Raw genomic sequence first — 25,593 nt, forward strand, 5'->3', positions numbered from 1 at the left:
ACTGCTCTCCAGTCTGGGCGATAGCACTAGACTGTCTCAAAAAAAGAAAAAAAACGCTTGGAGCCAGACCGTCTGGGTTTGAATCTGATGTCATACTGCTTAGCTGGTGACTTTTGGTGAGTTGCCAAACCTCTCCATGCCTTAGTTTGCCCCTCTCTCAAATAGGGGTATTGTTAATAGTACCTACCACAGAGTTTGTTTTGAAGATTACATAAATCTGTGTAAGGCATTTAAAAGCCTTGCATGTAAATGCTCTAATGTTACCTGCTATGAAGTTGAAAAGGTCATTTTCTTAGTGGTGGCTGCTGTGTAACAGTGATAAGGTTTCCTGATCTGGCTGACACCGTTCCCTGGCTTCCGGGTGACAGAATCCTTTTTTTAATGAGTTGTGTCTGAGAAGCTAGAATTGTTGTGGGTAAGGACCTGGGCTCTGGGTTTGAATCCTATCTCTGTGGCTTTCCAGCTATGTGATCTTGAGCCTCAGTTTTCTCATCTGTAAAAGTGGGCCAGTAGTACCTATCTCGTAAGGTAAGGATCCCAGGGGTTAGTCTATGTGAAAGAAACTGTTAATAGTGGAATTTGTAGTTGGCATCGCATATCAAGGTGTGTGCGTGCTTTAGCGAAATTCCATTCTTAAGAATTTCTTAAGGAAGTAGGATAAATTTACAAGCTGTATTTACAATTATATCCATCTGTTTATATTGGGGAAAAATTAGGAGCAACTTAATGTCCAATAGTACATCCATATGGATAATGTAGTACAATATTTGACAGAGAAAGGTGTTTATGATACTTCTTTACAGAAAAATTTTCTGTGGAGTCTGGAAGAATCTTCTAAAATATTCAGTGTTTTCATTTGCTAATGAGATTGTATTTTTTTATTATGCCATAAGGTACATTAAAAAGTAAGACATCTTGACTTGGGGAAACTCACAATAAGGGGAAACAGACGTTTAGACATAACTATCTTTAATATCTGATACAACAGTCTTATTGTCCTGAGCACCGTGAACCGAGGAAAGCCCCTTCTGCCAAAGTTTTCATCCTGTTGCAGACCTTGCCTATGGCTGTCTCACCTAAACAATAGGAAGTTGTCTTCTTGCAAATGAGGAGTGATTATGAGGCTATGGAAAATGGAAAAGCTGGAAAGTTCTTTAGCTAACAGCTCTCCGTCGGGAGCGCTAAGAGGGCCTCAGCACCAGTGGGCTTGGTTAGGGGGATATTTTAGACATTTGCTCTGAGACCAGTGCATTGGGTGACCTGCCGGGGCTCCTGCTCTGCCGGGTGTTCACCCTTTACCTGCGTGATCCGGGGAAGTGTGAGAGGGGTCTGGGGAGGGGCAGTAGCTATTCACCAAACTCTGAACCCAAAATATCTGAGACAGATCTGTACCAAATTAGAAAGTTGGTTTTATGGCCAGGCATGGTGGCTCACGCCTGTAATCCCAGCACATTGGGAGGCCGAGGCGGTGGATCATCTGAGGTCAGTAGTTTGAGATCAGCCTTGCCAACATGCTGAAACCCCATCTCTACTAAAAATACAAAAATTAGCCGGGCGTGGTGGTATGCACCAGTAGTCCCAGCTACTCAGGAGGCTCTGAGGTAGGAGAATTGCTTGAACCTGGGAGGCATCCTAGGTTGCAGTGACCCGAGATTGTGCCATTGCACTCCAGCCTGGGCGACAGAGTGAGAATCCGTCTGAAAACAAAAAAAAAAAACAAGTAAGTTAATTTTGCCAAGGTTAAGGATATGCCCGGAACACAGCCTCAGGAGGTCCTGTGCCCAGGGTGGTCGGGATACAGCTTGCTTTTATATATTTTAGGGAGACATGAGACATCAATGAGTAGGTATAAGGGGAGGGCAGGGGCTTCCAGGTCATAGGTGGGTAAGAGAGAAAAGGTTGCATTCTTTTGAGTCCTTGATTAGTCTTTGAGTGAATACACAATTTAGTCTGCCTCAGTGAATGCATTTTTACATAAACAATAGGTCAGAGGAAGCAATCAAATATGCATTTTTTTCAGGTGAGCAGAGGGATGACTTTCTGTCTCCACCTGTGAAGATGAGCTATCAGTTTACATTGCCAGGGTGAAATCCAACAGAACGTTCTGGGGTAAAGATCTTGAGGCCTACAAGGAATTTCCTTGTGGGTAAATTGTGAGGGAGGTATGTAACTTTTAAAATCTTTGTAGCTATCTTATTTAGGAATAAAACGGGAGGCAGGTTTGCCTGGCATGATTCCCAGCTTGACCTTTCCCTTGGCTTAGTGATTTTTGGGTACCGAGATTTAGTTTGCTTTCACAAAACAAGTGTGGAACTGTTTCAGTGGAGTAATGAGGATGTGGCTGTGCTGAGCTTAAAGGGGCGGATGTCAGCCCTGGCCAGAAAAGAAGTCTGAAGATGGATTCCTAGAGTGCCAACAAGGCCTCCGAATGCCAAGCTAGCCCCTCTCGAGGGCGGCGAGACCTGAAATCAGAAAGGCAGTTTCTTTAAAATAATCCCATTCAGAGTTGGGGCATCAAAATAGATTAGGCTATGGGTTTAACGGATAGGAATTCTTTAGAAAGGTATCAAATTATCCTTGCCTAAGCATTACTTCACAGGCTGGTCCTAACCTAGTTTTGCAAAACAAATCAAAACATTTTAAATCCATGGAACACTTTATTTAAACAGAATTTTCTGTAGAAGCCTGGTACAAAAATTAAATACGGGGCTGCTCCATTGCATCGAAAACGGGGAGGCCCACTGAGGCACAGGGATAGTTGCTTTTCCAGGACCACCCCCCTCATGTCAGTATTATTCAGCAGGGAACACAACCCGTTCCCCCAGCCCCACAGGGATTTCAGTAATCTAAGTCCCCTCTGCATAGGTCACTGTGACAGTGTCATTGTCATTCTCTTTGGTTTTGTTAGTGAAAGATTTAGGATTCAGTGTTTATGAAGACTTGTTTTGTTTTTGTTTGAGACAGGGTCTCATTCTGTTGGCCAGGTTGGAGTGTGGTGGCATGATCCTGGCTCACTGTGGCCCCACCTCTCAGGCTCAGGTGATCTTCCCACCTCAGCCTCCTGAATAACAGGTGTGAGCCACCAGTCTGGCTAATTTTGTTTATTTTTTTTGTAGACATGGGGGTCTCACTATGTTGCCCAGGCTGGTCTCAAACTCCTAGGCTCAAGTGATCCACTCGCTTTGGCCTCCCAAAGTGCTGGGATTACAGGTGTGAGCCACTGTACTTGGCCTATGAAGACTTTTTTTTTTTTGTTTTTGAGACAGGGTCTCATTATGTGGCCTAGGCTGGAGTACAGTGGCACGATCATGGTTCACTTCAGCCTTGAACTCCCAGGCTCAAGCGATCCTCCCACCTCAGCCTCCCTAGTAGCTGGGACTACAGGTGCGTGCCCTCATGCCCAGCTAGTTTTTGTGTTTTTTTGTAGAAATGGGGTTTTGCCATGTTGCCCAGACTGGTCTTGAACTCCTAGGCTCAGGTGATCCACCTGCCTCAGCTTCCTGAGGTGTTGGGATTACTGGCATGAGCCAGCACACCTGGCCAAGATTTTCGAAGGGAATGTTTTTGAGGACTTTGGGGAAAGTTTGTCTCCCCTCTGAAGGATGCCCGTGAGTGTGTGCTGCTGAGAGGATGGCAGAATGGCAAGGTGGGAGCATTCTGCAAGCATCATGACATCATTGAGCTACTGAATCAACCTTCCCTAGAACTGGCTTCCAGGACTTTGGGTCATATGAGTCATGTGAGAAAAATATTCTCCTCTACCTTTTTCTGAGTTAGGCCTCATGCTGCTTGAAGCTGAAAACATCCTGTTACACCTCGGTTTTAAGCACCCTCCCCTGGCCTCTGAGATAAGCCTCTCAGGAACCTGTGGCTCTCTAACCCAGTTTGAAACGTTTTGCTCTCCATAGAATTGTGTACCAGGAGAGTTATATTGATTAAATTAGGTCTTACATTTTATGTTATATATTCAGAGACATATATTTGTAGTCTGCATTTCAGGTAAAGCGTTTTCCATGTTGGAGGTCAAATCCCACGAGGTTCACGTATCTATTGCTGCTGCTTTACCCTGTTCTGGAAAAGAAAGTTATTTGCCTGCCGAACGCACAGACATGAGATTAGAAAGTGATGACAAGCGTTAATGCTTGGCTCTTTTTATCATAGACTATACTCTTTTCTACTCTATTATTTCATCTGTGTTTGTGTAACATGTATCTCACAATGCAGAAATCTTTTTTTTCTTTTTGTTATGAAAAATTTCCAAAAAAAAAAAAAAAAAAAAAGAAAAGTTGAGAGACTTGTACGGTGAACACCCAGATACACATCTCCTAGCTTCTACAGACATCCTTAAGGGTTCTGATGGCAGAGATCCGTGTGTAAGCATTTTGAAGTTTTTGGCTAAAGAAAAACGTTGTGTTCCGTTCTTTTTTTATTGTGTCGGATTTAAGGCACAGCTCCTGTTCAGCCTGCCTGCTATTCTCTGAGTTTATGTAAGTTTGAGGAGGTGGGTGGGAGAAGATGTAGGAGGATGGAAAATGAGCAGCTTGCTTTATTCACAAATGATGCTTGGTAGGCTCTGGACAGAGCCAGGGGTTTGGGGGAGTCCTGAGCATGGTGCCCTTGATCTGCTCTTGCACCCTCTGAGGCTGAGGGGCCTGGGAGGAGCCCTCCTCTGCTGGGAACTTTTCCTAAAAGCCCACTTACGGACAGAGAGGCAGGGTTTACAGCAGCAGAGCCAAGGAGGGCTGAGGCCAGCTTCCTTTGCTCTCCCACTCATTCCCAGCTCGCTATTTAATTTGACATCCTGGAACATGTGTTTCAGTGAATTGGTTCATAAAAATGTTTTTTGCAGGATTCTGGAATAGAGGCTGCACATTCTTTAGATACATGGCTAATCGCACTATGTGAGAGAGCGTGTGGGTGTGTGTGTATTTTTGGAGGTGGGTAGGGAAGTGGGGGGTGAGCAGAGTTCTTTCAAGCTCTCTCTTCACAAGATGCAAATGTTTTTCCCCTTAGGGTTTATAGAGAGTGTGAACAATGAGGAGTTGAGATCCTGTGGCCCTTTGGTCCCCAGGGTCTTCTCATTCGGCCCTACTGAGCAAGGCTGGCTTCCCATTTGCTCTCATCTTTTTCTCCTTCAGTCACTCTGGAAACTAGTAGTTAGGAGCTGGAAATTGAGAAGCTGCCATTTAGGAGTTTATGCAACAAATGCAGAGGAGAGTCTGTTCCAGACTTTGCAGTTATATCAACTTAGAGCTTTTGCCAACCTTTCTTGGAAAAAAACCCACTGGAATTAAGTGAAACTTCACAACACTGCACAATGTAGCCAATTCTGCATTTGGGGTATGTAAGCCTGGAACTGTGGGAAGCTGGAAGTTGCCCCTTAGTATTAACGTTTGTTTTTGTTGTCCTTTTCCTTGAATGTAGTCTTACGTAGAGAACTTGGACAGCCTGTCATTTTCCAAAACCTCTGTGGCTCATCCTAGGCACAACTCATGTCTCTCCTTTCTTCTGTTAGTGTTTAGGGATGGGCCAGGCCTGAACTAACCGTTTCAGGGCTCCGAGGCTGCGCCTTGTAACTTGTGAGCACTGGTTCTGGGCAGTCGCCTCCCTGCGGTTAGTGGTGCCCAGCCTCCAGTCGCTGTAGCTCAGACATGGCCTCGGGAGGTTTGGAGGATGCCCAGCGCTTGTCTGCCCATTGTTGCTGACCTGCCGCATTGTGTGATATGGCTCCATGTGCACATCTTCCATGGATTTATCAGTCTTGACAGGAGTCTTCCACTTTCTGCCAGTGATGAAATAGATCTTTATGATTTTTTTTTTTTTTTTTGAGATGCGTCTCGCTCTGTTGCCAGGCTGGAGTGCAGTGGCACAATCTCAGCTCACTACAACCTCTGCCTCCTGGGTTCAAGTGATTCTCCTGCCTCAGCCTCCCAAGTAGCTGGGACTACAGGCACGCGCCACCATGCCCGGCTAATTTTTGTATTTTTAGTAGAGAGGGGATTTCACCATGTTGGCCAGGATGGTCTCAATCTCTTGACCTCGTGATCTGTCCACCTTGGCCTCCCAAAATGCTAGGATTACAGGCGTGAACCGCCGTGCCCAGCCCCTTATGACATTCTTACCCTGATTGGTTATTCAGCTTCAGCTTGAGCACTTCACGTGATGGGAAGTTCACCTTTGAAACTGACTTTCCATTTTTGAGCCTCTCTCATTGTAAAGATGTTCTCTGATTTTGACTTCACATTTGCTCTCTTTAGTCTTCCACCGTCAGATCCCAGTCTCACAGACTTGAGACAGTTATCACATCTCTTCTCTAGGTTGGTTTTACCTAAATTTTTTTTTTTAACTCGCCCAGGCTAAATTATTCCTCATGTTTTTCAGTCAGTCCTAATGTTAACTTGGTCAGAACCAACCTTCCTTCCTCCCTTCCTCCCTTCCGTTCCCTTCCGTTCCCTTCCCTCTGTCCCATCCCTCCCTCCCTTCTTTCTTTTTGCAAGAGTAGATAGGGTCTCACTCTCTTACCCAGGCTGGAGTGCAATGGTACAATCATGGCTCACTGCAGCCTCAAACTCCTGGGCTCAAGCAGTCATCCTGCCTCAGCCTCCCATATAGCTAGGACCACAGGCTTATGCCTCCCCACCCCCAGCTAATTTTTATATATTCCTTTGTAGAGACAGGGTTTCTTTATGTTGCCCAGGCTGATCTTGAACTCCTTGGGCTCGAGTAATCCTCCAGCCTCAGCCTCCCAAAGTGCTGGGATTACAGGCGTGAGCCACCACACCCATCCCAGAACTTTTTTAGTTTAAATTTTGCCAATAGTGGATAGAGTGATTCTGTTGAGATCTGAATGGTGCCCTATGTAGTGAATCCATTTCTTTTTTGGTCTGGACTCTACTTATTTTAATGAAGCCCAAGATTTCATTAGCACTTCTAGTAGCAGTGTCTTTCTACTTGGATCGTGTTATTTTATGGCCAAACAAGATCAAACACAAACAAAAACCTTTGGGTCCGTCATCTTCTTTTTATTTTAATGGGAACTGCTAACTTCTCTTTCTCAATATACACTTAAGTAATGAATTGCCTTCTTTAAAATACAAATATTTACATTTGGCCTTGTTAAGCTTTATCTGGATGATTTAGAACTATCTTAGCCTATTGAGACCAAAGAAACACACACGCTCACACACGCGTGCATGCACACACACACAGGCATGTGCACTTTTTTCCTAGTTGTGAAAATCGATGGAATGACTACATGGCTTAGTCTCCTCTTTCTCCAGAGACGCCGTTTAATGATCAGATAGAAATTTAAAAGGTTAATAAAAACCTATAGTGAAGAAATGCTATCAGTTGATAATAGAGTTAAAAAAAAATTCTGGAAGATAGAAAGTGGATAACTGATAGAATATGGTAACTGATGAAAGTGGAAGATTAACAGGGTACGCCAAGTACCCTGCACAGTGGATTTAGAGAATCCCACCAAGCATATTGTGAAATTTTAGAATAGCAAGAATAATGACCATACTGGATGCTTAACTAAAGAAGTGGGACTTATAATGCCCACCTCACAGGGGTTTTGCAAGTTTTTTTTTTTTTTTTTTTTTGAGACGGAGTCTCGCTCTGTCACCCAGGCTGGAGTGCAGTGGCGCGATCTTGGCTCACTGCAACCTCTGCCTCGGGTTCAAGCAATTCTGCCTCAGCCTCCTGAGTAGCTGGGACTACAGGCGCGTGCCACCACACCCGGCTAATTTTTTGTATTTTTAGGAGAGACAGGGTTTCACCGTGTTAGCCAGGATGGTCTCGATCGCTTGACCTCATGATCCGCCTGCCTCGGCCTCCCAAAGTGCTGGGATTACAGGTATGGGCCACTGTGCCCAGCTGAGTTTTGCAAGTATTAATGTAAATAATGTGAGTAAAGCCTCTACTGTATTTTCTGGCACATGGTAAGGAGTCTCAGGGTATGTGTGCAGGTGTTGTATTACTTCTTGCCATCACTTTTCTTACCATCATCACTGTCACTGCTATGGTGGTGAAGAAGCATATCAGTTAGGATTAGGACCAGTTTCATGAGACAGAAAACCCAGTAACATAAATGAGATAGAAGCTTTCCTCTATACTGCTTATCTGAGAGAGCAGAGGGCAGGCCAGGACTGAGGTGACAGCTTCATAATCATCAAGGCCATGCCTCCTCTGTCTCCTAATCCAAGGTGACTGCCCAACCCGCAGGATCATCTTCATTTCCCCTCCAGGATGGAGGAAGGAGCTAGAGTAGGATTTCCCCTCTACCTTTTCCAGGTCACTTCCTGGAAGTATCCCCCAAAGGGTTTTTTTTTTTTTTTTTTTTTTTAAATGGAGACAGAGTCTTGCTGTTACCCAGGCTGGAGTGCAGTGGCATGATCACGGCTCACTGCAACCTTAACATTCAGGGCTCAAGTGATCCTTCCACCTCAGACTCACAAGTAGCTGGGACCACAGGTGCCCGCCACCATGCCTGGCTAATTTTTTGTAGAGATGAGTTTTCACCGTGCTTCCCGGGCCGGTCTCCAACACCTGGGCTCAAGCAGTCCTCCCACCTTGTCCTCCCAAAGTGCTGGGATTACAGGTGTGAACCACCGCGGCTGTCCCAAACTTGTATATACATCTCATTTCCAGAACTTAGTCATATGGTTGCATCTCAGCTGCAAGTGGTAGACTGGGAAGAGGAGTCTTTTCTGCAGCCATGTGCCTGTTTCAAAATGTCTTCTTAAGGAGGACAGGAAAACAGCTACTGGGTTTGGCAGCTAGCATTCTCTTTGTCACAGTGAACCTTATTAGTATACTCAATCCTAGGCTTCTGTAAGGTATCATTTATTCTGACTCTTTGGGAGTTAACACGAAGGATCATTGATATATTAACTTGTGCGTTGGTTGAAAAATGAATTATGTGTAAACTAATCATTAAACCATAGAAGCTTTTCAAATGGCTGAATGTGCATTGAAATGGCTTCTGCTGAAAAAGTTCAGTTTAACATTACTTTGAAAAACTTCTGCGTATAGAAGAAAATTGCAAATTATTGAAACTATCTTATGACACTGGTATTAGTCATACATTATTTGGGATGGAGATAATTCATGCAGATTGCTTTGAGTATGAGAAGATGCTTAGAGCATTTGGTGTTTATAATTTCTTGTTACTTGATCTCTCTGCCCTGGAAGTGCTATAACTCTTGATTGTCACTCCTGAGAAATCTATGTCTTAGGTTTTTCACATTATTACCTTCTATTATGAAGATAACTAGGGGTCAATGACCCTTTTCCTAGATGTAACATTTCTAGAAAGCCAATTACTGCAAAGTCTCATTTTGCAGGGTCATCTTTTTTTTTTCCTCTACTCTTCCTGACCATGTTTATTCCTATTGACCCAAATACTTGAGATTTATTTTTAGTTAGAAGAACTCAGAGATGCCTAAAGGCTAATCTTAAACTCTATAAACTACATTAAAACAAAGATATAATTTCAGTTTCTCACACTTAACTTGGAGAGTGTTTTCTCACTTAGAAACTTTCTCAAAAACCTTAACACTTAGCAAATGCACATGTGATGTTTTCCATTGCTATAACTTTCTCATTTAATTCACTTTTTCCTTTATTCATTTTTAGAATACGGGGGAACATTTCAGGGATTTGGTTATTCCTCCTTTCTCTGGGAGCATAACATCACTTGTAAAATTGTACAAAGATAGGACAGGATTAACCTTTTAGGTAGGATAGAGTAGGATAAGGTTCAAGTGACTTGGCATAAAAGGGACAGCTTTTTAAAATAAGGCAAAATGAGTAGCTTCTGTCTATGAGCTACTGTTATTTTCAGATTTACTCATTATTTATACAAAATTCTATTTAAAGTAACTAAGATATTTTGAAAAAACCTGTTAGGATATACTATTGGGTAAACAGAAATACTAATAGTTAAAAAAAATTGGTGCATATTAAATTAATGCCTTCATTTCATGGCCGGACTCAGGACAAAGAGTCATGATGTGGGTCCTACAACTTACTAGTGATATGATTTGGGGCAAGTCACTTAACTTCTGAGTTAGACGGGGTTTTACCAGAAGCAGAATGAGGCTAATGTCTGTCTTGCTAGCCTCATTGCAAGAATGTAATAAGACACGGGTTATAAAAGTACTCTAAAAGTGATGAAGGGTCATGAAAATGTAAGGTTATGTTTTACAAAACTCACAGCTGAGTCTAGAAACAATTCTTTAATAAGGAAAGACAATTAGAAAACCTCACTTCTCTGATTTTTCAACGTATATTGAAGCCTTTGCTTTTAAATATACTGTATAGTGAATGTTAAATGCACTTGTGTGGTTTTTTTGTTTTTTGGAGATGGAGTCTTGCTCTGTCGCCCAGGCTGGAGTGCAGTGGTGCTATCTCGGCTCACTGCAAGCTCCACCTCCTGGGTTCACGCCATTCTCCTGCCTCAGCCTCCCGAGTAGCTGGGACTACAGGCGCCCGCCACCACGCCCGGCTAATTTTTTTTGTATTTTTAGTAGAGACGGGGTTTCACTGTGTTGGCCAGGATGTTCTCGATCTCCTGACCTTGTGATCCACCGCCTCGGCCTCCCAAAGTGCTGGGATTACGGGCGTGAGCCACCGCGGTCGGCCTTTTTTTTTTTTTTTTTTTTTTTTTTTTTTTGGAGACAGAGTCTCGCCTGTTGCCCAGGCTGCAGTGCAGTGGTGTGATCTCGGCTCACTGCAACCTCCACCTTCTGGGTTCAAGTGGTTGTCCTGCCTTAGCCTCCTGAGTAGCTGGGATTATAGGTGCGCACTACCACGCCCGGCTAATTTTTGTATTTTTAGTAGAGACGGGGTTTCACCATGTTGGTCAGGCTGGTCTCTAACTCCTGACTTTGTGTGACCTGGTGATCCACCTGCCTTAGCCTCCCAAAGTGCTGGGATTACAGGCGTGAGCCACCGTGTCTGGCCACTTGTTCTTTATGCTAAGCAAGAGAAATATTATTTTGCTGATTGATCAGTCTGAGTTGTAATATAAATTTTCTTATAAATAATGATTTTTTTCACTTACCCTGTAGAATTAGCAAAATTTTATAAGTCTCTTAACTAGGTTATGAGATTTGCTTTCACAGAAAGACTTTTCCCATAAACGAATGAAACTTAGGATACATGAGAAGCAGAATCCTTGACATTTTGCTTCTTCATCTCATTTGCCACAGACAACATGCCATTGTCAAGGATGGATGCATTCACTTGAATCTCAGCTTGTTTTTTCAGAGTGACCAGCCTTGCTGAGTTGTAACAGAGGTTAGGTTTCCAGGGGGGCATGTGTGAGCAGAGGATGGGTTGGCTAGGAGCGAACTGTGGGGTGCAGAGCAAATGTCAGGGAACTAGGCTCCTTGGCCTTTAGATGACTATCTTCTCCCTATGTCTTCACATAGTTTTCCCTTTGTACTATCTCTTGGTCCAACTTTCCATTTCTTTCTTTCTTTCTTTTTTTTTTTTTTTGAGATGGAGTCTCGCTCTGTTGCCCAGGCTGGAGTGCAACAGCACAATCTCGGCTCACTGCAACCTCTGCCTTCCGGGTTCAAGTGATTCTCCTGCCTCAGCCTCTCGAGTAGCTGGGACTACAGGCACGCACCACCACACCCCGGTAATTTTTGTATTTTTTAATGGAGATGGGGTTTCACCATATTGGCCAGGCTGGTCTCAAACTCCTGACCTCGTGATCCACCCGCTTCAACCTCCCAAAGTGCTGGGATTGCAGGTGTGAGCCACCTTGCCCAGCCCTCAACTTGCCATTTCTTACAGGGATGCCAGTCATACTGGATTGGAGTCCACTTTGATGACCTCATTTTAATTTCTTTACCTCTTTGAAGATCTTATCTCCAAATATAGTCACATTCTGATAAATGGGATGAGGACTTGCAGATAGGAATTTTGTAAGAAACATAATTCAGCCCATAACATGTCCTGAAGGGGAAAAGCAAAATGTAGGTCATGGTTCCTGGTATTCAGGTTGTCATTGTGTTTAGAGGTAAGTTCAAAGCTCATGACACATTACTGGTATGAGACAGTACTATAATTTTATTTCCCAGCTAAAATATCTTATACCCCTAAATGAGTTGAGCAGCGAAATCATACAAATTCAGAAAAAGAGAGCTAATTTGGGGCCAGAATGGTGAGAGAGGGACTTGTGAAATAGCAGGAAAAGGCTTGAGAGGAACTGGAGACATCAAGTTGGAATGAGTAAGAGTGTGCCCAGGGTGTGGTGAGGAGGCTGCCTGGCCAGAGCAGGGGGCTTGTTTTGTGTGTCCAGCATGTGTCTCAGATATTTCGTACCAGATCTTGATAGCTTGAATTCTTGTCTTTGAAATTACAACTTTTTCATGTAGTAAAAAAGATCAGAGGGAAGTATTTGAAGTAGAACTAACTTAGGTATAATTGCGCTGTGAAGGTGAAAAACAATAGTAGAGTCGAACTAATATTTAAAATCCAAGAAAAGGCTCTAAAACAAAAGATGACCTGAATCTACATATTGGAAGAGCCCACCAGGTGATACCTGGGAAAAGTAACCCAGAATTATAAACTCTGAGATACATTCTATTAGATTTCAAAGATAAAGAGAAAAAATTTCTCAAGGATTCCTTGCAAAAAAAGATCGTATGGTTTACGGGGACAAAATAATTTGACTGTCATCACATTTCTCAAAATGATGTACAAAGCAAGGTAACAATGGAGCAGCATTTTGAAAAGATTTTAGGGAGTGACAGCCAAGGATTTTATCCCAGCCAGGCTGTCCTTCAGGTATCAAGAATAGAGAAACAGTTTACACAGTGACTCAGGGAATTCTGTACTTTAAGCCCTTACTGTTAGAGGGTGAACTGCTTCATTCAACCAAAAAATGAGTAAATTTCAGCAAAATGACTGATACTAAGTATTTACGCCGGGTGCGGTGGCTCATGCCTGTAATCCCAGCGCTTTGAGAGGCCAAGGGGGGGACTCATCTGAGGTCAGGAGTTCAAGATCAGTCTGGCCAACATGGTGAAACCTCATCTCTACTAAAAATACAAAAAATTAGCCAGGCCTGGTGGCACATGCTTGTAATCCCAGCTACTCAGGAGGCTGAGGCAGGAGAATCGCTTGAATCCAGGAGGCAGAGGTTGCAGTGAGCCGAGATTGCGCCATTGCACTCCAGCCTGGGTGACAGAGTGAGACTCTGTATCCAAAAAAAAAAAAAAAAAAGAAGAAAGAAAAAAAGAGTATTTACTACTTTATTTACAGATCTGAGACTAACACAGAAGAGGAGACCAGAGTGGGGAATAAAAACCTCCCCTGTAACCATAGCTGAAAACTCTTGAAGGTGGTTTGCTGGCACAGTTTGGGTTCTTTAGAAGTGGATACTGAGACAGTTTGGTGTACAGGAATGCACATTTTTTAAGGATTAACACCTGTGGAAGGGAGGGGGCAGAAGCAGAGTTGGGCAGAGCGAGAAGTCAAACTGCAGTATAGGCCTGCAGAGCCTTGAACAACACCACGGGAAGCTTTGGAGTGTTTATGGCCCATCAGAGCTATCCAGTGTTGGGTTGAAATGGCCAGGCTTGTTTTTATCTGCCTGTCTTCATCAGTCTCTGGATGTGAACTGTCCTTTGGAGGGTGTGTTTTGGGCGGGTGGCTGTTAGTAGCCGAGGCAAACCCTGAAGGACTAACTGCTAGAGGCTGTCTCCAACTAAGGCAGTGGGGTCCTTGAAGTGGGATCTGCGTGGCACATCTCCACGTCCCCCATGCTTGCTTTTTCTCTAGTAGAAGACTGTGTTTACAGTGGTAAGTTAGGAAGATGAGTTTCTTCTCATTGCTGTGGACTTCTGTTACCTTATGGCTTCCAAGAGTCTGGAACATCGTGTTCACATTTGTATTATTCTCCACATTGTGAGTCCTCATGTCCCAAAAGAGAATACAAAACAAAACAAAAACGTAAGAACCTATCAAACCGTATTACCCAGATTCTCTTGCTGTTAGGATGCAGACTTTTGACTTAAGTTTCTCCCATTTGAGTGAGATCTTGTAGCAAGACTTGGATTCAGGAGTGAGATGCAAAACAAAAAAACAAACAAACAAAAAACCAGGGAACGCTTATGTGGTGTGGGTGATTTCAGAGGCAGCTTCCTCATCGTAATACAGCTGGGGTGCATCTAGTGGCCATGTTGGCAGCTGCTCCCTTACCAGACCGGTTCTACAGTGGGATTCAGCCCAGATCCTAGGGCTGGGTATCACCATCCTCTGCTGCAGTAAATGACTTTGAAACACATAGAATGGATTCTGTAGTTGGCAGCTAAGAACGCTGACACATTTCGTGGGTGAGTTGTGTGGAGGAAAGACTGGAGGCAAGGAGACTGATTAGAATGTGAAGGCCTGAATTAGGATGGGTTTAGTAAAATAGGAATTGATTTGAGGAGAATGTAAAAGAGGGAATGAATCATATTTAATGATGTTAGGACTAAGGAACTGAATCAGGGAAAAAGTCATTTAGCATTACCTCTGGGGAATGGATTTGGGTGTAACATAGGAATGGGTATTGGATATTTGGGTGTATGTGAATAATAGGAAGGCAGATAGACTTTTTAATTTATACCCAACTCTATGTTGTGTTTACTGCATGCGTATAATATTTTTATAGTCTTAAAAAAGATTGCTCTAAAGTTTGAGCCAGGATGACCAAAAATATTGTGGTGTCCATATGAGATGTTACTTTTTCTAACCTGAGAAGTCACAGTAAGTAAAATGAACGGAAACCATGAAGACTGGAATTGTTGAGTAAGAAAATTATGTCGATATTCCATCTGAATCCTAAGTTCAGAACTTTAAAAACACAATTACTGAGCACCTGCTGGGTGCCAGGCAATGTGCTAGGTTCCTTAAGTAGTTTCTCATTTAACCCTTTATTCTCACATCTGTATCGTTGATAATGTTTTCCACTAAATAGACTCCCAGTAAAAATTGATGAATGATGTATCTCATCGAATTCCTTGAATTGAGAGATGTGATTTAATGTTTTTTTTTAATTTTTTTTTTTTTTTTTAGCTCGGACACCCAGGCTGGAGTGTAGTGGCCTCAACCTCCTGGGATCAAGCGATCCTCCCAACTTAGCTCCCCAAGGAGCTGGGACTACAGGCACATATCACCACGCCCTGCTAATTTTTTATTTTTCATAGAGAAGGGGTCTCACTATCTTGCCCAGGTTGGTCTCAAACTCCTGAGCTCAAGTGATCTTCCCGCCTTGGCCTCCCAAAATTCTAGGATTACAGGCATGAGCCACCACGCCCAGCCTAGTGTTTTTCTTTAAATGGCTTAACTTAAGTAAGTTAAACAAATGGTACATTTTTATTTGCATAGAACTATATAACCTATGATGCTTTTTAATTGTAAATAACACATCTTAAAAAGAGGGCCGGGTGTGGTGGCTCATACCTGTTATCCCAGCACTTTGGGAGATTGAGGCAGGGGGATCACTTGAGGCCAGGAGCTCAAGACCAGCCTGGGCAACATGGTGAAACCCTGTCTCTACTAAAAACAACAACAACAAAAAAAACAAAAATTAACTGGGCATGGTGGTGGCATGCACCTGTAGTCCCAGCTACTCTGGGAGGCTGAGGTGGGAGGATCACTTGAGCCTGGGAGGTGGAGGTTGCAGTGAGCCATGATCCTGCCACCGCACTCTAACCTGGGTGACAAGAGCTAGACCCTGTCTCAAAAAAAAAAAAGAAAGAAAAAGAAAAATCTACAAATTAGAAACATCCATTACCCTTCTACAATAAAAACTATCATTTTGGCTGGGTGTGGTGGCTCAAGCCTGTAATCCCAGCACTTTAGGAGGCCGAAGTGGGCAGATCACTTTAGACCAGGAGTTTGAGACCAGACTGGCCAACATGGTGAAACCCTTCTCTACTAAAAATACCAAAATCAGCCAGGTATGATGGCACATGCCTGTAGTCCCAGCTACTCCTGAGGAGGAGGAACGAGAATTGCTTGAACCTGGGAGACAGTGAGCTGAGATCGTACCACTGCACTCCAGCCTGGGCGACAGAGCGAGACTCTGTCTCCAAAAACTCCCAAACACCTCATTTTAATACTTTCATATTAATTCCGTGATTCTTAACCCTGACCCACACTTTAGAATCCCTGGGGAGTTCTTTAAAAAAGCTACTGATTATATTGGCCCCACCCTAAAGTAACTGGATCAGGATATGGACAGAGTTGGAAATCGCTGCGTCGGGATTGCTTTTGTAGTAGGATGGCAGCTGCTTTTATGGTGCCCTTGTGTTGATTTTGCTACATGAAATATGATCTGTCAGGAAAGGAACTACAAAGTTCATTTTGTAGAATGCTACCTTTTCATTTTAAAAGCCCATCTGATCGAGTGAAAGTGTATAGAAGCACTTGTTTTGTATTAAAATTTTGATACCTGACTCTCATTTATGAAAGAATCTGTGTATGAAATAGCCCAAATTAGTATCAGCCTTTGGATAGTTTAAAAAATGATTTTTTTTTTGGTATGCTTCCCTATCATCTCCATCTGCCCCAGAACTCAAGGTCTGTCCATGCTGGTGACTTAGAGTAGTGGGATTTAAACCAGAGGATGCACACTTGGAGGCACTTGAAGATGTTTCAAGGGACATGCAGGCATTGAATATTTAAAGGAAATTAATTGCCGATTCTTAGATCTTGAGTGTTAATCAGTTCTAACACTGACCGTCCTGAGAAAATGCCTATGGCCCAGGTGACCTGCTGGTTTTCCTTTCACACCTTCTCTTTCATGATTACCATTCTTTAAAGGGAAGACATACCTTTCACCTACCCCTTATCAGAGTGCCAAGTAGGGGGATAATTAAAATACTGCTGGGGCTGCTGGGAAAGTGAGTGACTCTAATGACTGGGCAAAGGAACCTTTTGCAAATGTTTCCCATTTTTGCATTCAGTAAAATTGGGCAGGGTGGCTCATGCCTGTAATCCAAGCGCTTTGGAAGGCTGGGGCAGGCAGATCAGTTGAGCCCAGGAGTTCAAGACCAGCCTGGGCAACATGTCAAATCCTCATTTTTACAAACAAAACAAAACAAAATTAGCTGGACGCGGTGGCACGTGCCTGTAGTTCCAGCTACTTGGAGGGCACTGAAGTGTGGGAGGATTGCCTGAGCTTAGGGAGTTTGAGGCTGCAGTGAGCCATGATCATGCCAGTGTACTCCAGCCTGGACAATGTAGTGAGACCCTGTCTCAAAAAAAAAAACAAGAAAAGAAAAAAACCGGAAAGATGACTTAATCAAGTGGTCAGCTGATAGATTATTAAATAGTAAGCCCATGGATACATATTACTTTTGTTCAAAAAGACCTTTTTCCAAGGAATGCTTATACACGGTTGGTAGGAGTGTAACTTAGTTCAACCACTGTGGAAAGCAGTGTGGTGATTTCTCGAAGAACTAAAACCAGAACTACCATTCGACTCAGCAATCCCATTACTGGGTATATACTCAAAGAAATATAAGTTGTTCTATCATAAAGACACATGCACTTGTATGTTCATTGTAGCACTATTCACAGTAGCAGAGACATGGAATCAACCTAAATGCTCATCAATGGTAGACTGCCTAAAGAAAATGTGGTACATATACACCGTGGAATACTACACAGCCATCAAAAAGAATGAGATCATGTCCTTTGCGGGAACGTGAATGGAGCTGGAGGCCATTATCCTTAGCAAACTAACAGAACAGAAAACCAAATACCACATGTTCTCACTTGTAAGTGGGAGCTGAATAATAACACGTGGAAACATAGGGTAGAACAACAGGAATGGGGCCTAACTGAAGGTGGAGGGTGCGAGGAGGGAGAGTATCAGGAAAAATAACTGAGTACTAAGCTTAGTAGCTGGGTGATGAAATAATCTGTATATCGAACCCCCATGACACGAGTCTCCCTATATAACAAACCTGCACATGTATACCTGAACTGAAAAGTTCTTCCTTTCCCTACTGAAAAAATACAAAACCTTTTTCCATCTATATATGTATATGAACACATTTTCTCAGTGCCTACATCTATAAGAACTAAACAAAATAATAGATTTTGTGCTGAATCTTGTCTCATTCCAGTAATAAGTAATAGTCTTCTACAGAGACTGACCTGATTGGAGAAAAAGTTCCATCTGTCTCATTAAGATACTCGTTTCCAATAAAATGTTATTTATATTGAATAACTTTATAGTTTCTTTTGAGCAATTTTGCCTTTAAAATTGTATTTAACTCCATTTAAAATAAACATTTAATACTGATTTTTATGGTTAAATACACAAATTTTATTTGCAGAATTTTTGTTGCAGCGTAGAATAGACTTTCAAACTTTAACAAGATGGAATACTGTGGAGGAGGTGGAATGGAAAGTTGAGATCGAGGAGAAAGGGAAATGATGTACTGTTTCCAACTCTTTTGAAAGAGTTTGTTCATTTATTTTTTTAAAATGGATATCGGTTGTGGGGATGGCTATGGCATTTAGGTCAGAATGGATACGTTTAAGAGATGTAATGGTTTTATTTAAAACTCAGTATTTATAACATGCCAGAAATTATATTCTTTGCAACCGTTTAAAATTACAGTGTGAAAATTTGAATATTAACCTTAAAAATGTGTGAAAGAGTCTATAGTTTCTCCAGGTCTCTTTCTGGGGTTATGCAAACAAAGATGTGAAGAACTGTGGGCAAAGGCTATCATGGGGGCAGAAGTAATGAGGAGGACAGTAAGCATTTATTTATTTTTTCCCCTACTTAAAATTCCTGGAAAGATGAACTGATTGGATATTTTTAAGTCATAGCAACATTTTAACAGAAAAGAATACTTGCCAAACTTTAATATGACATCCAAAATACACTCTTTCTAAGATCACTTTTACAGGCCCTCTCCTCATCCCTGAGCCTTTCTTCATGCCATTCCTGACATCTAGATGTCTTCTGCTTTCATCCTTTATCTTTTGAGACAGAGTCTTGCTCTGTCGCCAGGCTGGAATGCAGTGGCTCAATCTCAGCTCACTGAAACCTCCGCCTCCTGGATTCAAGTGATTCTCCTGCCTCAGTCTCCTGAGTAGCTGGGACTACAGGCTCGAGCCACCAAGCTCAGCTAATTTTTTGTGTTTTAGTAGAGATGGGGTTTCACCATGTTGGCCAAGATGGTCTCGATCTCTTGACCTCGTGATCCGCCGACCTCAGCCTCCCAAAGTACTGGGATTACAGGCATGAGCCACCGTGCCCAGCCCTTTATTTTTTAAGGTGTTATTTTACATGTGCAGGCTATCTGCATGATCAGTAGCCATTAATGAAGTTTTAAATCACCAGTCTGTCATGCCCAGGTACTATACCCTTCATCTTTTATTAATTTTCTTTTTTCATCTGCTGGTTTTAGTTATCAAGGCGTCTAGAGAGGTTGGGGAGGCATAAGGCAGTCAGTAGAGCTCTGGAGGTAGGGGGTCAGGGTATTCTGTGGTCTAATCTGGTTCTGTTCTAGCAGGCTGTTTGAATTTACTGTCATGCTGGCCTAATGGAAAAATAAAGTTTGGCGTTTGCCTTTTTTGTTGCCTTCGCCAGAGCACATTTATTAATATATACTTACCAGAGAAAACTGTGAGGCTTGACTATGTAAGAAGCTTATTTGTGTTGGCTCAGGTTCTCTACTCAGTAGGATAGGAGCTCTATTCTGATTTATTTTGGACAGTTTTGAAGAGATAGAACCAAAAGACATTTATCAAATGAGTAAACTGAAGACTGAACTGGGGCAGAAGGGGTTCAGTTTTCTTTTCAAATTTTTGAGCACTTTAGGTATCAGGCAGCATAGGTGTTCTTGTTTTCTTACTTACTCTTTGAGTTCCAGTTCTGAGGTTGCACAGAGCTGCAGAAGCTGTCATAGCATGAAAATATTTAATAATAAATGTAATACTAATAAAATTGCTCTCCATTCGAACATGTCTTCCTGCTTAAAACTGGCTTTTGTTGCTCCCATTTCCCATCTGGTCTGTAGCCAGTGTCTTTGTGTTGGCAATTGACAAGGATAATGTGTTTGATGCTTCAAAAGAGGATGGTTTAAATGTCAAAACATTAAAAGATGGCCTTGTGTAAATTAATGTGGTTCTCAGATGTTTTAGCAAAAATCACCTCTTTATGACCCTCTCTATGTCATTATCATGCTACAATTTTGTCAAGAATTACACTAAAAATTCTTGACTCTTGACTCATTCTTTGTCATGCTGAGACTTAGGTCATGGTTGGGATTATAACAAAATTGATTAAATATGAAACACTTATTTTCATAACATTTTTTAGGAAAATCTCAGATAAGTCTCATTTTTTTTCTCTGTCTCATAATTGTGGATTTTAAGTGGATTCCTTTGAGTAGCTTTCTTTTGAGGTACCAGTTTCCCTCAGATACTGCATAGCACAGCTTTGGAATCATAAACCTTGGTTTGAATTCTGGCTCACCCTCTTGCCCTGGGTGACCGTAGCCAATTAATCTTTGCAGCTTTGATTTTCTCCTCTGTAAAACAAGACTAATGGTACCTTTTCTAGAGGATTGTTGAGAAGGCTTAGTGGTGCAGTTCACATAAAGATCATTGTGTGAGGTCTACACAATGCACATGCTCTGTAGCAGGACCAGAGGCTATCGTGAATTATTGCCCATGTTTCTCTTGGATCTCAATTGCTTTTCACTTGGCATTTGTCTCGGCTGAGTAGAGAATTGCTTTTTAAATGATGAGAAATGAGTCAACAATGCATGGTGATGTAAATAGGAGGGCATGTTTTGGTTTTCAAAGTGGAAATAGCCACTTCTATTATAAAAGTTACAATAGCTGATTATTGAGGGCTTACTTTGTCCTAGATTCTCTTTAAAGCCCTCTACAAATGGCATCTCATTTAATCATTCCAATAAAACTATGAACTAGGTACCATTAAGATAGGTATCATTAGTAGCCCCATTTTATAATAGGAAACCAAAGTTAGTACTCATTCAAGCTTGTCTAGCTGGTAAGTGTAATGCCTGTTAAAAATTTTTTTGTAAAGAAAATACTATAAAATATAAAGAAGAAAAATAAAAAATAACAGCTTTATTGAGATAGAATTTACACTTCATAGAATCCCACATTCACATTACTTCACCCTGTTTTTTTCTTTTCTTTTTTTTTTGAGATGGAGTCTCGCTCTGTCCCCCAGGCTGGAGTGTGGTGACGCAATCGTGGCTCACTGCAACTTCCGCCTCCTGGGTTCAAGCAATTCTCTGCCTCGGCCTCCCGGATAGCTGGGATTATAGGCGCCTGCCACCACACTCGGCTTATTTTGTATTTTTAGTAGAGACAGGGGTCTCCCCATGTTGGCCAGGCTGGTCTCGAACTCCCGACCTCAGGTGATCCACCTGCCTCGGCCTCCCGAAGTGCTGGGATTGCAGGCATTAGCCACCGTGCTCAGCCTACTTCACCCTTTTAAAGCATACAATTCAGTGGTTTTTAATATATTCATAGTTTTGCAACTATCACTGCTATCGAATTTCAGAAATTTTCATCAACTTATTAGAAAACACCACTCCCATCAAGCAGTCACTTCCTGCCCCTGGCCACCACTCCATTCCCCTGACAACCTCTAATCTACTTTCTGTCTCTATAAATTTGCCTGTTCTGAATATTTCATATAAATAGAATCATGTAGCATGTGGCCTTTTTTGACTGACTTCTATTTAGCTTAATGTTTTCGGGGTTTACCACATGGCATGTAACAATACTTTATTCCTTTCTGCTGCCAAACAATATTCCATTGTATAGATAGATCACATTTTATTCATCATTTGTACATTTGGATTGTTTCCAATTATTGGCTATTATGAATAATGCTGTGAACATTTGTGTGCAAGTGTTTGTGTGGACGTATGTTTTCAATTCTATTGGTTATATATCTACGAGTGGTATTGCTGGTTTATATGGTAACTTTATGTGTTCCATTTTGAGGAACTGCCAAATTGTTTTCCAAAGTAGTTGTACCATACCTTACTTTTCATACATGACTTTTCTACAGGTAAAGTATGATAGTTGCAATTTTTCTACATTCTCACCAACCAACAGTTAATAGATGAGTTTATTATAGCCCTTCTAGAGGGTGCGATGTGGTATCATTGTTTTGATTTGCATTTTTCTAATCATGTTGAGCCTCTTTTCTATGTGCTCATTGACCATTTGTATATATTCTTTGGAGAAATGTCTGTTCAAATCCTCTGCCCATTTTTTTTTTTTTTTAAAGATAGGGTCTCACTGTGTTGCCCAGGCTGATCTCAAGTGATCCTCCCATCTTGACCTCACACAGCGTTGGGATTATAGACGTGAGCCACTGGTCTCAGCTCAAATCCTTTGCCCATTTTTACGTTAGATTAATTGTATTTTTATTTTTGAGTCATGTACTATAAATGGTATGTTATTTTTATATATTTTTAAATGAGATTAAATGACAATTTTGTAAGTTGCTTTTTAAACTTAATAATCTTCCCATGTCTATATCTAAGTACATCAGTTTTACTGACTGCCTTATAGTTCATTATATGAATGTTCTATAATTTTAAAATCTAATTCTTTGTTTTTTCACCCAGGCTGGATTGCAGTGGCAAGATCTTGGCTCACTGCAGCTTCCACCTCCCAGGCTCAAGCGATCCTCCCACCTCAGCCTCCCAAGTAGCTGAAACTAGAGGCATGCACCACTGTGCCGGGCTAATTGTTATATATTTTTTAGAGACAGGGTTTCGCCATATTACCCAGGCTCGTCTTGAAATCCTGGGCTCAAACAATTCACCTGCCTCAGCCTCCCAAAGTGCTGGGATTACAGATGTGAGCCACTGTGCCTAGCCCTAAAATCGAATTCTTTATACGTGAAGTTTATTTAAAAGGAAAGAAAACCCCACCAGGCTATATCTACATTTGAATGCTTGTGCAATCATTTCTTTAGGATACATTACTAGAACTGGAATTGCTGGGTCAAAAAGTGGGCATGCTTCAAGGCCTTTGAAAAATATTCTGTACTTGCCCTCCAGAAAGGTTGTTTCAGTTATACCCTTATGCTAATGTCTTGAGATTGTCAGTTTCTTACGAGCCTCCCAGCACTAGGTACCAGTACTTTTTGTTCATCTTTTAAATTTTATTTATTTATTATTATTATTCTTTTGAGACGGAGTCTTGCTCCGTCACTTAGGCTGGAGTGCAGTGGGGGCGATCTTGGCTCACTGCAACCTCCGCATCCCGGGTTCCAACGATTCTCCTGCCTCAGGCTCCTGAGTAGCTGGGATTACAGGTGCGCGCCACCATGCCTGGCTAATTTTTGTATTTTTAGTAGAGATGGGGTTTCACCGTGTTGGCCAGGCTGGTCTCAAACTCCTGACCTCATGATCCACCCACCTCGGCCTCCCGGAGTGCTGGGATTACAGGCGTGAGCCACCACGCCTGGCCAGCTCATCTTTTAAATTTTAATCTAAGAGGTCCAAATTGGTATTATATACTTCTTTTAGTTTGCATGTACTTATGAAGATGAAGTTGGTTGAAGTTTCCTTTGTTTCCACCATTGGACTTATTTGCTATGCCTGGAGATCACTTCCTGTGCCGCCTCCAGACCTCTGCTGGGACATCCCTTAATCTAGGAAGCATTTCCCACCTCTTCCCTCAACTGCACAGGCACAGACATGTTCTCTCATCCTCCCTTGCACGGGTCCTTTACAAGGCCCTGGGCGGGTTCCTAGGAATGTTTTTACATGACTGTGTTTTTTATTAAGTCTTCAGAAGTAATATATAGTGTGTATTTTTTTTTCCTTTAAAATACTCCACTTTGCCCTCTCACATAAGTTTCAGAGCTCCATAAAACCTGGATCTGCCCTGCCTGGGACATTAGGTGTCGAATGTAATGCTGAATTGAATGGAACCCACTGAGTATATTGCTCCTTAGCGCTCTTAATGTTTAGGTCAGGAGCCTTTTGTTCAAGGAAGCTTGGTTACCAGTGAGTGGGCTCCTGAAAACTATGGTAGCAGTGAAAGAAAGACTCTTGGAAAATGGTTATGATTAATCTTGTGTGCAGTGTCTGTGTATATGCAGTCATGTGTTCCCAAACCTTATTAACAAGATGAAATACCTATTTTAGTACACACTTGATTTTCTGGATAACCCAATGGTGGTAGTAGGCACCCAAATAGCCTCTCTCCTAACTCTTTGGTTCACCTTGTTTAAAGCCTTTAGACTGAGTAAGAATCTTTTGGACCCTGTTTTTTTGGCTTGAAAATTTGCCCAATTTGAGTGGTGGGTGATATATTTACTAGTTTTCTTTATTCCTTGAACTTACGATGAGTGTGTGTTTTATAATGGGGTGAAAAAAAAAACAGTAACCTTTTTGTTGAACAGACAGAAAATTTCCAACTTGCTTTTAGTGAGAGCTGAGACCTGACAATGGGAGTGAACATGCCGGGCTTGATTCCAGCCAGGTTCCTGTTTAGAATTGAGGCCGAGGTCAGTCAGCAGGTGCTTGCGTTCTCACACAGTCCTTGGAACCAAGCATGCTGTGCACTGTGATTGTAGGACTGAACACTTGCACATTAAAAACTCCTCCTCATTTCCCGAGCACTTCTTGTGGGATGCTGCTGCGCATTTCGAAAGACAGTGTTTTTGCTATAATAGAAAGCTGTGTCCACCAGGGGTAGAAGGGAACACACGAGAGCAGGTCCAGAGAGAAAAAAGAATCAGAAGAGGCTGAACCTAGTATTGAGGCCTATGAAAATAAGATGCAGACATCATACTTGAGAAACTGTTAATGGAATAGAAAAGCTTGAAAACATAGTGAATACATTCAATTTTTTGGTCTCAGCACAAAATCACTGGAGAGAAAAATGTACGTAACAAGTGTGATGTGTTTGGTGCTACAGGGAAGGGATATAGAATAGTGATACTCTTAAGCATCATAGAAGCGATGGGAACATCAGGCCAATTACTGAGAAATTTCCTATTGACTGAAATCATGTGTGACAGTTTCAGAAATAATGATAGGCTCTCGTATATGTTGGTACGAGTTTACTGTAAAAATCAATAGCCCGACTTGGTGCTCAGGCTCTGTTTTCTCCTTCGGTGATATCGAAACTGACTTTCAGCCCTTTCATTGCACTTGTGACTCCGGGGGACACGTGCTGATTTCCTGGTTCTATCCTAACGGTGCCTGCCCTTTTCTGTTTACTCCATGTCAGTGCAGGCATTGATAAGAATTCTAGTCGGTGGGGTGGTGAAGACATCAAGAGACCTTAACCTGGGGTTTCCTTGCTGTATCTTAAACTTTTGACCACCATTCTTACATTTGCTGTGATCAGTTTGTAGTCTTTATGTGTAATACTTTTTCTCCCCACCTTCCTGGGGGGAAAATTCCACATGTAAAGGATTTGTCAAATTGGTGATAAGACCAAACAGCCTTAGGGGACATGAGAAGTCTTATGAGCATTGTAGACCTGCTGGTGAGCTAGGGGGTGTAGGCTGTGTGGGGTACTTTCTGTTCTTTACTTAGAGAT

General features: G+C 42.1%; 1 protein-coding gene across 41 annotated transcripts in view, besides 3 other annotated features; it reads left to right on the forward strand.

Moving 5' to 3' along the window:
• The window catches only part of TMEM131L (transmembrane 131 like), a 170,352-nt gene that overhangs the window by 27,260 nt on the left and 117,499 nt on the right, over nt 1-25,593 (forward strand). The window lies entirely within an intron of this gene.
• Nucleotides 836-1,833: an enhancer, noted in NCBI's record as "H3K27ac-H3K4me1 hESC enhancer chr4:154415607-154416604 (GRCh37/hg19 assembly coordinates)". NCBI's record gives its function as "activates a minimal SCP1, AML or CMV promoter by ChIP-STARR-seq in primed H9 embryonic stem cells {active_cell/tissue: H9 hESC(primed)}" and the evidence as "EXISTENCE:reporter gene assay evidence [ECO:0000049][PMID:30033119]".
• Nucleotides 4,075-4,154: an enhancer, noted in NCBI's record as "active region_22068". NCBI's record gives its function as "activates an Ori minimal core promoter by ATAC-STARR-seq in GM12878 lymphoblastoid cells {active_cell/tissue: GM12878}" and the evidence as "EXISTENCE:reporter gene assay evidence [ECO:0000049][PMID:35858748]".
• Nucleotides 19,202-19,701: an enhancer, noted in NCBI's record as "H3K27ac hESC enhancer chr4:154433973-154434472 (GRCh37/hg19 assembly coordinates)". NCBI's record gives its function as "activates a minimal SCP1, AML or CMV promoter by ChIP-STARR-seq in naive H9 embryonic stem cells {active_cell/tissue: H9 hESC(naive)}" and the evidence as "EXISTENCE:reporter gene assay evidence [ECO:0000049][PMID:30033119]".

The sequence above is a fragment of the Homo sapiens genome, chromosome 4 (assembly GCF_000001405.40).
Source record: "Homo sapiens chromosome 4, GRCh38.p14 Primary Assembly".
In the NCBI taxonomy this organism is placed as follows: Eukaryota; Metazoa; Chordata; class Mammalia; order Primates; family Hominidae; genus Homo; species Homo sapiens.